Below are 15,195 nucleotides of genomic sequence, written 5' to 3' on the forward strand. Positions count from 1 at the left end.
ATGCAATCCAAAGAGCTGGTCTCACTCCCATTGTGTCCCACTAACAGCACCGAGTCTGTTTTCCAGGCAGTGAGTGAGCAGGGCTTTAGAACCTTCCCCAGGCTACCCACCTCCCAGCTGCAAGAGAAAAGGGCTTTAGTTCTTTCTCTGCCTGTGGAGTCTGCAGGCCAAATTCGCACTCTCTCCCAAGTTCTGGCCAGGAGGCTTCACATCCAGTTCAAATTATTACAAAGTTCAGCTGCAGATATCCTTCTTCCTGTGACATTTTTCTGCCTCTCTCCACAGCCCCCCACAAAGTGCCAGGCAGGAATGGCTGGCATGGGGGCCTAGCAAGCTCCCAGGGCCTTTCCTGCTGCTTCCTCTGCCCCTGTATTTCTCTTGGCTCTCTAAATTAACTCAGCTCCAGGTAAGGTCAGAAACTTCCTGCAAAGTAGACCTTCAGTTTCCCCAGTGGGGGTGCGTGTTCAGGGGTGGAGGATCTCTCTTTTCTACTTCTGCAGTTTGGGCACTCATCGTATTTGGGATATCTCCTGGCTCCTGCAGGAGCAGTCGGCTTCCTCCAAAGGGTCTGTGGGTCCTTTCAGGAATCCCGTTTTGTTTCTGCAGTCATTCTGGAGCTAAAATTCACGATGCAAGCCTCCAAACACTGCACTTCAATTGCATTTTCAACTCCAAAATTTCTGCTTCATTATTTTTAATTATTTCAATTTCTTTGTCAAATTTATCTGATAAAATTCTGATTTTTTTCTCTGTGTTATCTTTAATTTCATAGATTTTCCTCAAAAGAGCCATTCTGAATTCTCTGTGTGAAAGGTCACATATCTCTGTCTCTCCAGGATTGGTCCCTAGTGCCTTATTTAGTTTACTTGGTGAGGTAATGTTTCCTGGATGGTGCTGATGCTTGTGGATGTTCATCAGTGTCTGGGCACTGAAAACTTAGGTATTTATTGTAGTCTTCACAGTCTGAGTTTGTTTGTACACATCTTTCTTGGGAAAGTTTTCCATGTATGCAAAGGGACTTTGGTGATTTGATCTGTTTTTCATCACTGCAGACATATGTTCATTAGGAGGGACCCCAAGGCCAGTAATGCTGCAGTTCTTGCAGACCCACAGATATACTGACATCATGGTCATGGATAACATCCAGAAGAATTATCTGGATTACCAGGCAGATACTTTTGTTCTCTTCCCTTACTTTCTCTGAAACAAATGGGCATTTTGTCTCTATACTGAGCTGCCTCGAGCTGGGGGAGGGGTAACACAAGCACCTCTGTGGCCACCACCACTGGAACTGCACTGTATCAGACCTGAAGCCAGTATAGCACTGGGTATCACCCAAGGCCCATAGTAATCACTGCCTGGCTACTGCCTAGGTTTGCCCAAGGCCCTAGGGCTCTACAGTCAGCAGTTGTCAAAGCTGGCTAGGTTCATGTTATTCCCTTCACGGTCACAAGTTCCCTACAACCACAGATGGGTCTATAGATGCCATCCAGCAACCAGGGCTTAGAGTCAGAAACCTTTGAAATCTATCTGGTGTTTTATTCTACTGTGGCTGAGCTGGCACCCAAGGCACAAAAGAAAGTCTTTTCCATTCTTCCCACCCTTTTCCACAAGCAGAGGAGTCATCTCATGGCCACCACCACCCCACGTTTATGGTAAGTACTACCTGTTTATTGCCAATGTGCACTCAAGGTCTAAGTGTTCTTCAGTCAGCTTGTGTGAATGCTGCTTCCAGGCCTGAGAATTACCTTTCAGGGAAATGGGCTTCCCTCTGGCCCAGAGCAGGTCCCAAACTGCCATCCAAGAGCCCAGGCTTGGATTTATGGACCCCAAGACCCCACTTGGTGTTCTATCCTATGGTGGCTGAGTTGGTACCTAAGCTGCAAGACGAAGCCTCCTTTAATCTTGGCTCTTCTTTTCTCAAGTAGAAGGAGTGTCTCCCCTTAATTACCACAGCTGGAAATATGCCAGGTCCCACCTGAAGCCAGCACAAGGCAGAGTCTCACCCAAGGCCAATCGAGTGAACTACCTGGCCACCACTGATGATTATTCAGGACCCAAGGTTTTTTAGTCAGCAGGTGATGAATCCTGTCAGGCCTGCGTCCTTCCCTTCAAGGCAGTACGTTTCCTTCTGCCCCTGGAGATGTCTGGAGATGTCATCTGGGAGCTACATCCTAGAATGCAGGCCCCAGGACCCTATTCTACTGTGGCTGAAATAGTATCCATGTTGCAAGACAAAGTCCTCTTCATTCTTCCCTCTCCTCTCCTCAAGTCAAAGGGAGAATTCTCTCCTGGAGCTGCAAGCTGCTGGGGTCTCACTAGATCACAGGTCCCCCGAGTTCACTGATCCCAGGCCCAGCACAGCACCAGGGTTTGCCTAGGAATAGCAGTCCTTGTAGCCAAGACTGTCTTTTAAGTTTATTTAAGACCCCATAGACCTTTAGTCCATGATGGTGAGGCTTGTCAGAACCCAGATTCTGACCACTGGGATGGGCGATTCCCCTCTGGCTAGGGCTGGTCTAAATGCTCCCTCCATGGTTGCTGGCTGAGTTCTGTCTGGTGCTGCTTTCCTCTGTGACAGGGCAGCACTGATTCCCAATGCAAAGTCCCACAATCACTGTGCTCTCTATCCCCCAAGCACACAAAGATGCCCTGCACCAGGCAGCCACTGCTGGGAGATGGGCAGGGTTGGCACTGGCAATTCAAGGAAGTCTTTCCTACCCTCTTCAGTGTCTCTTTCAGTGATATGAAATTAAAACCAAGTACTGTGATCTCCCACTTTATTTTTGGCTCTTATGAAGCTGCCTTTTGTGTGTCGATAATTGTTAAATTTTCTGTTTCTGTGGGAAAGATGACCTTAGAGGCTTCTACTCAGCCATCTTGCTCCTCTTCGTTGTTCTGTATTATTATTCCTTCAAAGAAACTTTCTACTTCAGTGTATGCATCCTTATTAAGGCAAATAACTCAGACTTAAAAATAATTTATCATCAGGTATTTTTGCAGGCCTCATATTAACCACAAAGCAAATAGTCTCTAATAGATACATAAAAATGAAAAGCAAGAAGTTAAAACATACTACCACACAAAGTCCTTATACACAAAAAAGAAAGGAAGAAGGTATATAGAGGACTTACAAAGTAACCACAAAACAAATAACAAAACGGCAGTTATAAATTCTTACCTATTAATTGCATTGAATGTACATGGACTAAATTCTCCAATTAAAAGACATGAAATAGCTGAATGGGTTAAAAAACAAGGCCCAACTCTAAGTTCCTACAAGTAATGTACTTCACCTGTAAAATTACACCTGCACTAGAAATGAATGGAGAGAAAAAGGTATTCCATGCAAACAGAGGGCAAAAAAGAGCAGGAGCTGCTATGGTGATATCCAATAAAATAGATTTCACATCAATACTGTAAAAACAGACAAAGGAGATCATTATATAATGATAAAGGGGTCAAATCAGTAAGAAGATATAAAAACTGCAAATATATGTGTTATCAACATGGGAGCACCTAGATATATAAAGTAAATACTACTAGAACTAAAGAGATAGACCCCAGTACAAAAATAGTTGAGAATTTCAACAACCAACATTCTGCATTGATAAGTTCCTCTAGATGGAAAATCAAAAAAGAAACATTGGACTTTATTTTCATGATAGATGAAATAGACTTAATAAATTTTTACAGAACATTTTACTCAGCAAATGCAGGATGTACATTCTTCCCATCAGCACATGCAGCATTCTTTAGATAGACCATGTTAGAACACAAAAACTTCTCAGGAAATTTTAAAATTTCAGTCATATCAAGTTATCTTTTCTGATCACATTGGAATAAAACAATAACAAAAGGAACTTTGAAAAATATACAAATACCTGAAAATTAAACAATATGCTCCTAAATGACAAATGGGTCAATCAAGGAATTAAGAAGAAAATTAAAAATTTCTTGAACCAAATGAAAATGGAAACACAATATACCAAACCTTTGAGATATGGCAAAAGAAGCACTAACAGGTATGTTTATAGCAATAAACACCTACCTCAAAACAGTAGAAAGACTTCAAATAGCCTAGGATGTACCTTAAAGAAGTAGAAATGCAACAACAAATGAAACCCAAAATTAGCAGCAGGAAAGAAATAATAAAGATCAGAGCAAGAAATAAACGAAATTGATACAAAAAATACAAGTCAAAAGTTGTTTTGTGAAAAATAAACAACATCAACAAGGCTTTATGCAAACTAAGAAAAAAATAGAGAAAACAAAAATAAATCAAATTGAAGATAAAAAAGAGATATTACAACTGACATCACAGAAATCCAATGGATCATTAGAGACTATTATGAGCAACTTTATGCCAATAAATTGAAAACCCTAGAAGAGGTGGATAAATTTTTTTGACACATAGAATATTGATTGAACCAAGTTGACACATTAAGAAATACAAACCATGAACAGAGCAATAACCAGCAGCAAGACACCAGCAGTAATAAAAAGTCCTCCATCAAAGAACAATCTAGAACCTGATAGCTTCAGAACAACTGAATTCTACCAAACATTTAAAGAACTCATACCTATTGTACACAAACTATTTGAGAAAATAAAGGAGGTGGGAATACTTCCAAACTCATTTCACAAGGCCAGCATTACCCTGATGCCAAAACCAGAAACGAACACACACAAAAAAGAAAACATCACTGATGAACATAGATGTAAAAATTCTCAACAAAATAGTAGCAAACAAAATTTTAAAACACATTAAAGAGATCATTCATCACGACCAAGTGTGATTCATCCCAAGGATGCAAGAATGGTTCTGCATAGGCAAGTCAATAAACATAAAACATAACATTAGTAGGATCAAGGACAAAAATATATAATCATTTCAACAGACGCCAAAAGCATATGATAAAATTCGAATTCTCTCTTTATGATAAAAGCTCTCAACAAACTGAGCATAAAAGGAAAATACCTCAAAACAATAAGATCATATGTAACAAACCCACAGCTAACACCATAGAGAATGGGGAAAAAAATGAAAGCTCTTCTTCTAAGATCATGTAGAAGACAAGTATGCCCACTTTCACCACTTTTACTCAATACAGTAGTGGACGTCCTACCCAGAGCAACTAGGCAAGAGAAAAAAATAAAAGGAATCCATATTGGAAAGGAAGAAATCAAAATGTCCTCATTTGCATATGATATAATTTTATATTTACAAAAACCCAAAGACCCTCTCAAAAATCTATCTGAATAAACAAAAAATTCAGTAAAGTCGCAGGATACAAAATCAACATAAAACATAATTACCATAACTATATTTCAATAAACAGCAATCTGAAAAGGAAATTAAGAAAGCAATCTCATTTGCAATTCGTTACAAAAAGTAAAATACCTAGTAATAAACTACACCAAAGAACTGAAAGATTTCTACAATGAAAACAATAAGCTGATACAAAAAATAGAAAGACATCCCATGTGCATGGATTAGAAGAACCAATATTGTTAAAATGTCCCTATTACCCAAGGCAATCTACAGATTCAATGCAATCTCTATCAAAATACCAATGACATTCTTCACAGAATTTTTTTTAGTCCTAAAAGTTACACAAAATCAAAAAAGACCCATAAAGCGAAAGAAATCCTAAGCAAAAAGAACAAAGCTGGAGTGGCTGAGCTAATTTGCATTCCCACCCGCAGTCTACTAGTGTTCCCTTTTCTCCACAACCTCACCAGCATGTTGATTTTTGACTTTTTAATAACAGCCATTCTGACTGGTGTAAGATGCTATCTCATTATTGCTTTCATTTGTATTTCTCAAATGATTAGTGATGTTATAAGTTTTTTTATATGCTTGTTGGCCATGTGTATGTCTTCTCTGGAGAACTGTCAGTTCATGTCCTTTGCCCATTTTTAATGGGTTTGTTTGTTTGTTTGTTTTATTGTTGCTTTATTTGAGTCCCACATAGAGTCCAAACATTAGACCTTTGTCAAATGCATAACCTGCAAATATTTTTTCCCATTCTATAGGTTGTCTGTTTACTCTGGTGTTAGCTTCCTTTGCTGTTCAGAAGCTCCTTGGTTTAATTAGTTCCTGCTTTTCAATTTTTGGTTTTGTTGCAATTGCTTTTTGGAGTCTTTATCATAAAATCTTTGCCAGGGCTGATGTTCAGCGTGGTATTTCCTCTTTTCTTCTGTGTTTTTAACACTTTTACATCTTACATTCAAGCCTTTCATCCATCTTGGGTTGAATTTTGTATATGGTCAAAGGAAGGGGTCTAGTTTCAAAATTTTGCATATTGCTAGCCAGTTATCCAAGCACTATCTATTGAATAGGGAGTCTTTCCCCATTGCTTGCTTTTGTCAGCTTTGTCAAAGATCAGGCAGTTGTAGATATGTGGCTTTATTTCTGGGTTATCTAATGACTGTGTTGCATTGGTCTATGTATCTGCTCTTATGCCAGTATCATGCTGTTTTCATTACTGTAGCCTTGTTGTGTAGTTTGAAATCAGGTAGTGTGATGCCTCTCACTCTGTTCCTTTTGTTTAGGATTGATTTGGCTATTTGAGCTCCACTGTGACATTTACCCATGTAACAAACCTACATGTGTACCCCTAACCTAAAATGAAAGTTGAAAAAAAAAAAGGTTTTTAACTAAATGTAAAATTATGTTTTAAAAGATCACATAATTAGTAAATGGTACAATCAGAACTTGAACACTAATCTGACATTAAATCTTGCACTTCTAGCCATTATACCATATTACTTTCCTTTTACACTATACTGTCTTCACTCAATATGTAATTATTTTGGAAATTAAGGACACTAAAATTCCCATAAACACTAACATTTTTAGAATATTTGTATGTTTGCTCACCTTTCACCATTTTTTGAAGTTCACACATATACATGCTCATCAACTTTTGCTTCAGCTTCCCTGAAGGAAGATCTAAGGAGAAGAAAAACACTTTCCAAAATATATCAATACAAAAGATTGTTATAAAAAGTCAATGACATATAATTGACAATTGGATAAATGGACAGATTCTAAGAATTTCAGACTATTAAGTGAAATTAATATAGTCAGAAGACTAAAAACCAAATATATAAAAGTAAAAAAGAATTCCATATTAATCCATTTTCTGATTAAATTATCAAAGAAAAGAGAGAATTTTGAAAGCAGCAAGATAAAGTGACTGACTTGTTACATACTAAGAGAATGTCCTCCATAAGACGATTGGGGGATGGCAGATTTCTGCAGAAACCTTGTAGGCCAACAGAGAGTGGGATGATATGTTCAGAGAGATGAAAAAATAAAAGGCTAACAAAAATTACTGTATCTTGCATACCATCCCTCAATAATGAAAAGAAATACTTTCCCACACAAACAAAAGTTGAGTGAGTCTGTCAGCACCCCACCTCCATTATTATTATTTCCAAAGGGAAACCTTGAACTTTAAAAAATGGCACTAAAGAGCAGCATGAGAGCATATGAACATATAAAGCTCACTGATAAATGACTAATGTGAAAAGTCCAGTATTAATATTATACTCAACAATAAAAAACTGAAAACTCTTCCTTTAAGATCAAGAACAAGATAAGGATTCTACTCTCACCACTTCTATTCAATATAGTCCTTGAAATTCTAACAAGAGCAATTAGGGAAGAAAAAGAGATAAAAAGGTAAGAAAAGGAGATAAAATATGAAGTGTTTTATGGAGGATTAAACACGTAAAAAATGAAATAGCATCCTATACCTATTAGGATTATCATTATCAAAAATAAATAAATAAATCAATCAATCAATCAATAAATAAACAAGAAATAATAAGTGTTCAAAGGATATGGAGAAATTGGAACCCTTGTATATTGTTGGTGGCCATATAAAATGCTACACTCACCATGAAGACACTATGGAGGTTAGAACTACCATATGATTCTGTATTTTCAGTTATGGGATCTCAATTCTTCAGAAAAGAATTGAAATCAGTATTTGGAAGAGATATTTGCACTCCCATATGTTCATTGCAGCATTATTCACAATTGCCAAGATATGGAAGCAACTTAACTATTCATTTACATATGAATGAATAAGCAAAATATGTTATATACCTATAATGGAATATTAGCCTCAAAAAAGAAAGAAAAAGGTCATACCCAACATGTATGAACCTTGGGCTAGCACAGAAGAACAAACACTGTCTGATTTCACTTATATGAGATATCTAAAAAAAAGTCAACTCATAGAAGCAGAAAGTAGGATAGTGGTTTTCAGGGACAGCGGACAGAGGGGAATAGGGAGTTGTCATTTAAGGGCATAAAGTATCAGTTATGCAAGATGCAAATGTCTTGGAAATCTGCTGTACAACATTATGCTTACAGTAAATACTGTACTGTATCTAAAAATTTGTTAAGTAGGTAAATCTCTCAGCTTAAGGAGATTTTGGGCTGAGACGATGGGGTTTTCTAGGTAAATCTCATCTTATGTATTTTTATCACAATATTTTAAAAATGAATAAGTGTTTTGAGAGCCCCCAACTAAATTTGGATTTCAGTACCAGAGTGGTTAAAAACCCTGCCCTAAAAAGAAAATGAATGGGAGCTGGATGTAGGGGTTTACAGTGTTCACGCAATACTTTTCCTTCAGTGGATGGCCTGATGCCTAGTTGTTTGACCCTTGACCAGGGGAACCTTCACACAGGAAGCTTGTTTATACTGGCAGATGCCCTTGGGGCTCTTATCCGACCCATGTACAGTTTATGTCTGCCTGACCATTGCTCTGGCACTGGTTGCCTAACATTGTGTTCTCACTGCAGTCCTAGGGAAAACCCAGCCTGAAACAGCCCCTAGTTTTTCAGACAGAAAGCGTAAATTCAGTACACCACCACAAGAAGAAGCAAATTCAAAGATGTCTACTTACAGATCCTGGGAAAGGAGAGAATAATGAATTGGGAGGGCAGTGTTCTGTCCCCATGTCAGATGAGGCAGAAATGAAGCAACTGGCTGAGAAACCAAAATCTCAGAAATCACCACTACAGGACTTATCTATGTAACCAAACACCACCTGTTCCCCAAAAGCTATTGAAATAATAACAATAATAATAATAATAATAATAAAAGGAATACATGGCAACTAGCAGTTTATATAAAGAAATCAGGTGTGGGTCACTTAAAGTTTGCAGGTAAATGCCTGAATAGTTCATTTAAAGGAAGCAACAGGAAAGCAGGGAACCCAGTCAGCTAAACAGGAGAGATGACTCAAAGTTATCTCTGGCTTCTGGTTTGAGCAATTTGGAAGTGGTGTGAGAACTAGAAACTGTGTCAAGGGCGACTAAGCCCTGCTGTGCTGTGAGAAAGTTAAACTTGTAATCAAAATGAACGATGAGACAACATAAAATTGTAGGAATTCCCTCTAACAAGATACATATGTATTCTGAAAACGTAATAAAAACTATTGACTCCTTTCTATGCTAATAAACAAAACCATCACGAGGTTATATGCCATTAAACATAAGTAATATAAAAATAGGTTTCCTTGTTGCATTCTGGATTTACTACACAGGACCAACTACACAGTGAATGCTGTGGATATACAATCTGTCACTCAATAAGTTGTACATTTTAGTGACATTTCTGATTGTAATGGAGGTAAATGGACATTTCAGCTCCTGAGGTACTCACTGGGAGTTTGACTAATATCTGTAAATTTTTACTTTTAATTTTGTGGCCCTCAGGATAGTGAATTGTCTTGCAGTGGTTTTTGTTGTCATGTGAGCAAATTGGCTTTAGAATACTAATAAAAGCAATTACTTATAATAAATAAATAAACCTCAGGCCCCATAGTTTAATCCTCCATAAAACACTTGCTGTCTTCCAAAAAATTAATGACAATTATGACCATCATCGTCTTACCATCATTTTACGATAATTTAAAAATCAACATATTGTGGTATCTTCAGTTCTCTTTGTCACTTACTTTAGCTTTGAGAGACAGGACTTGGTGGTTGAAATATGAGTTTGAGACTTGGTTTGCTTTTGTGGAGGAAGGTGGCAGCATTTTCAAATGGAACTGTCTTCTTTTCCCACACTTTTAGTCATCATCTTTGTAGGTAGTATTATACTTTTGTCTCATTTTTATCAAATAGAAGCTACCAAAGATACCTTTGAAAAGTCTTCAGAAATTATCCTGCTTCATAAGACACAGTCTGTATCTCTTTCTGAACATATTTAAGCATCTAACTTCCAGCCTCTTCTCTAGTATTAATAACTTCTTCACAAATAGTTCCATAATGTTATCATTATCACTTAATAGATTTCTTTAAATCACGTTGCAAGAAAATATTCCATGAAATAGACCCAGCCTTTATACTTTAACAATCCCTAGCTGCCTGGGCCAATATTATTCTCATTTGTAGGATGTAGGCTCCACAGATTATAATATGTTTCTTTCCTTTTTAATCATCACAGATTTGCAAACTTTATGGCCTATTTTGGCCTTAATCTCCATGTCCAGCATCTGGGGAACAATGTTTTCCTGTTGCAGACTCTCTTTGGTGCAGTCATCCTCCTGGCCAACTGTGTTGCACCTTGGGCACTGAAATACATGAACCGTCGAGCAAGCCAGATGCTTCTCATGTTCCTACTGGCAATCTGCCTTCTGGCCATCATATTTGTGCCACAAGGTGAGAAAAGATCACAGGTGGAAGAGAGAAATGCCTTTGCCTCTTTTCTCAGGGATTGTACTTGTCACACCTATCTGAAGCCAAGAAGGAAAGGGAGAATTGGGTTCTTAGGATTTCCTGACACCAATCTGGGGATTTGGGACAGATTCTGCCACAAGTTGCTGGAAAACGAGTCAAAGATGAGTAAAGGTTGGCTCTATTATATGGTTGTCCTCATCATATTCAACAAATACTAAGAAACTGAAGCCATTTATTTCTGACAGTTTCTCTACAACAGCAATCAATTACTTACTCTTTGGCCAATCAAACTTTAAATGAGTATTGAGGTATAGGCCTTGTCATTGTTTCCCAACATGAGGACATAATACTGCTACTTCCTCTGTCTGGGCTCTTTCTTATTACTACAGCTTCAGTGACAATGTACTCCCTAATTCCCATGTATCTACTTGTGTGCCTTGTATTTGGTCACCATAACTGCAATCTGGTTTAGGGGAGTCATCTTGACTTCAAGGGAACAAAAGTGCCCCATCTTTATGTAAAGAACTGTACAGTAGAAATGAAGAAATTGTCAGTTAATAGCCTCTTGTAGATTCTATTTTAAGAAATTAACTGATCATATGTAATAAGTAAGGGAACCCAGGTGGCCACCAGTCTTCACCTAACTCTTAGTGTAGTAATGTATCTAACAGGATCTCAGATTGGTGTGCTCCACTCCCCCTCTTGAATGCCAGCAATGATCCAAGTGTGCTACAAAGCAACAGCACCCTCCAATGTCATGAGGCTATGACAGGATTTCTTCAGTTGGATAGAAACAAGCCTCTGAAACTTCCCTTCAGTGCTTTCCAAAGTCTGACTTTTTTTCCTCTTTTCGAGGTCCTTATTCCTAATCCTTAAAACATTAATACTCTCTAGCTTCTCTCCTAACATAGACCTCCTGATCTTTTATGACTCTCTTCTGCAACCCTAGCCCCATGTCAATACTGTGTATGTACCTAGGTTTTAACGGCCAGGAGAACATGGATGGGTCTTATACTCCCAAGTATTGCCCACATGACAGTCCTATGTTCTACCAGGTAGGCAGAGGAGTCCCTGGACGGAATAAATGAAAAAACATTCAGCTCAACTTACACGCCTCTCTCTTGCTATGGCATATCTCTGATATATAGTGAGAAGTGAAGTAATAGCTCAGATCCTTTTTATGCATTATTTAAGCCACAAGGCGAAGACAAATCATGTTTCTCAGCTATCAGCCACTGCACATTCTTTGCCTCTATGCAGTTTCCCTACAGTACATTTAACCCTTGCAAACACCTCCAATACAGTCCTTTTCACTTCTACCTTGGGGATGCTGATTCCTTCAGCTCAGATTTCCTGAGGCCTTGTGTTCTTCCTTTCTCCAGAAATGCAGACGCTGCGTGAGGTTTTGGCAACACTGGGCTTAGGAGCGTCTGCTCTTGCCAATACCCTTGCTTTTGCCCATGGAAATGAAGTAATTCCCACCATAATCAGGTACAGAACCTTAAGTATGCCCTGTCAGGTTCAAAATGGACCTTTCTCAGATAATTGACACTTTTTGCGGGAAGAAATCTAAGACTGGTTCATTAAGAAAATAAATCATAACAGTCATAAACACAAATAATTATAGACCAACTTTATCTCAAGCTGACTTTTTGCCACTGTATTAAGTCCTTTGATGTATTATAGTATCCCACATAACCTTCTGAGCCACCTGAGAGGTTGGTGCTAAGGATAGCAGTATTTCCTAAATGATGAAAATGCATCTAATGCACTTGTGAACTGAAAAATTAATTGCTAGCAAATAAAAGTGAAAATTTCAAACACAGGAGTATTTCATCACCTCTGTGTGTCTAAATGTTCCCCCATAATTAGAGCAAAATGATAAATCACAAATTGCCTGTGTGGATTTTTAACAGATATTCTTGTATTGCTGTTTCCACTCAAAGGGCAAGAGCTATGGGGATCAATGCAACCTTTGCTAATATAGCAGGAGCCCTGGCTCCCCTCATGATGATCCTAAGTGTGTATTCTCCACCCCTGCCCTGGATCATCTATGGAGTCTTCCCCTTCATCTCTGGCTTTGCTTTCCTCCTCCTTCCTGAAACCAGGAACAAGCCTCTGTTTGACACCATCCAGGATGAGAAAAATGAGTGAGTAAATAGCCCGGTTGCCCCTCAGAGGATCTGTGTGCTATAGGTCTGTGCTGAGGAAGGCAAAATACCATTTAGGGCCACTGTCCTCTCAAAAGGCTTAGACTTAGGATTTTCCCATGTAATCAGTGCCTTAGGTCTAGGTACAGCCACATGCCTTCCCACAGTGACCTCAGACACCCTCTGAGGCTCTCCAGATCACACAGACCAGCTCTGCCCAGCTTGTCAAAGGAGGCTTCATAGTGAAGAAGCCAAAATTAGGTCTCCTCTTCCCTCCCTGCCCTAGTGTGATATGCACACTGTTGAAGGTATTTTACAAATATGCAGAGATCCAAACACCAGATTTTCATCCCTGGGAAACCCTCAAACAAGTGGGTACCTGTAAGCTGTCTGAGATTGCCAGTGCTTACAGGCCTGACTACTAGGCCACTGAAGAATTTGTGGAAGAGTATGCAGATGCAGGGGTATCCAATCTTTTGGCTTCCCTGGTCTACAGTGGAATAAGAATTGTCTTGGGCCACACATAAAATACACTAACACTAATAATATCTGATGAGCTAAAAAAAAAAAAAATCACAAAAATATCTCATAACATTTTAAGAAAGTTTACAAATTTGTGTTGGGCCACATTCAAAGCCATCCTGGGCCACAGGCAGCCTGTGGGCCATAGGCTGGACAAGCTTGCACCAAGGCGTCCAAGGATGACAAGTAGAAAGTATCCAAGCTGCCTTCCCAGATCCTAGTCTGGGAGCTTCATCTTTTACTTCACAAGGTTTACTCAATCCCTTGGGGGCAGAGATATGGTTTTTACCAAACTAATGGACAAAGAATCAACATTCCTTAAAGAATGCGGGACTTACATGTTTAGTCCATGTCTTTTCATTTTTGTGATTTTTTGTTGGTTTCTTTGTATTTGTTCTAGGAGAAAAGACCCCAGAGAACCAAAGCAAGAGGATCCGAGAGTGGAAGTGACGCAGTTTTAAGGAATTCCAGGAGCTGACTGCCGATCAATGAGCCAGATGAAGGGAACAATCAGGACTATTCCTAGACACTAGCAAAATCTAGAAAATAAATAACAAGGCTGGGTGCGGTGGCTCACGCCTGTAATCCCAGCACCTTGGGAGGCTGAGGCGGGCAGATCATGAGGTCAGAAGATAAAGACCACCCTGGCCAACATGGTGAAACCCTGTCTCTACTAAAACAAATACAAAACTTCGCTGGGCACAGTGGCACAGGCCTTTAATTCCAGCTACTTGGGAGGCTGAGGCAGGAGAATTACTTGAACCCAGGAGGTGGAAATTGCAATGAGCCAAGATTGGGCCACTGCATTCCAGCCTGGTGACAGAGCGAGACTGTCTCAAAAAAAAAAAAAAAAAAAAAAGAAAGAAGGAAAGAAAGAAAGAAAAGAAAAGAAATAACAAGATATAGTGAGTCAGTAGATTCACTTCACAATTGTGGTACTAAATAACTAAATATAAGCTATCTACATATAATAGTAAGAAAAAGTTTGAAGAAAATTATATAACACTTTAAAATCAATCATAATAGACTATTTATGTAGTTATAGGTCCCTAGCAAGTTTCTGGATAGGAAGATTGAGTACTATTAAACACAATGTGTCTTCTTCAATTATTTGATAGAGTAACTGGTGGGATAATTACAATGAAAAATCTGCTACTTTTACAAAAACTTTAAAATAAATTCAAATTTATCTAGGAATTAATAGTAGACATTTGGTTCAGAAAAAAGAAGATCAGGGAGTGAAAAATGTAGCTGTCAGGTAAGTGGGGTAGCATGCACAGAATTTTATCATAAGTTGTAATATTCATAACATTATTAGCAGATGCATTTACAAAACAAAGAAATTCAAAAGTAGACTTTAGTATGTATAACATTTAATGTGTAACAATTTCAGTATTGTACATTCTTAGAGGAAACACCTAATTATGGAATAAATAGCATTAGCCAACTAATCAGAAATAAATGACTAACAATTCAACTTTATATCCTGTATTAGTCAGGGTTCTCTAAAGCAAGAGAAATAATAGTATATATGTGTATATAAAAGTGAGTTTATTAGGAGAATTGACTCACACGGTCACAGGATGAAGTTCCACACTAGGCCATTTGCAAGCTGAGGAGCCAGGAAGCCAGTCCAAGTCCCAAAACCCCAAAAGTAGGGAAGCTGACCATATAGCCTTCAGTCTGTGGCCAAAAGCCTGAGAGCCCCTGACAAATCACTGGTGTGAGTCCAAGAGTTCAAAAGCTAAGGAACCTGAAGTCGGATGTTTGAGGGCAGAAAGTATCCAGCATGGGAGAAAGATGAAGGCTGAAA

The 15,195-nt window shown here is 38.6% G+C and overlaps 1 protein-coding gene across 3 annotated transcripts in view; it reads left to right on the forward strand.

Moving 5' to 3' along the window:
- SLC22A9 (solute carrier family 22 member 9) overlaps positions 1-14,275 on the forward strand; it is a 40,510-nt gene extending 26,235 nt beyond the window's left edge. For 2 of the 3 annotated variants that reach the window (NM_080866.3, XM_047426335.1), the window contains 4 exons: positions 10,478-10,692; positions 12,093-12,201; positions 12,657-12,860; positions 13,783-14,275. In NM_080866.3, the coding sequence (NP_543142.2) occupies positions 10,478-10,692; positions 12,093-12,201; positions 12,657-12,860; positions 13,783-13,843 (589 nt within the window). In that variant the 3' untranslated portion in view covers positions 13,844-14,275. The remainder of the gene's footprint in view (positions 1-10,477; positions 10,693-12,092; positions 12,202-12,656; positions 12,861-13,782) is intronic. The other variant, XM_017017159.3, reaches the window with a different exon arrangement.
- Positions 14,276-15,195: the final 920 nt, after the last annotated feature.

This window comes from Homo sapiens, chromosome 11, assembly GCF_000001405.40.
Source record: "Homo sapiens chromosome 11, GRCh38.p14 Primary Assembly".
NCBI lineage: Eukaryota > Metazoa > Chordata > Mammalia > Primates > Hominidae > Homo > Homo sapiens.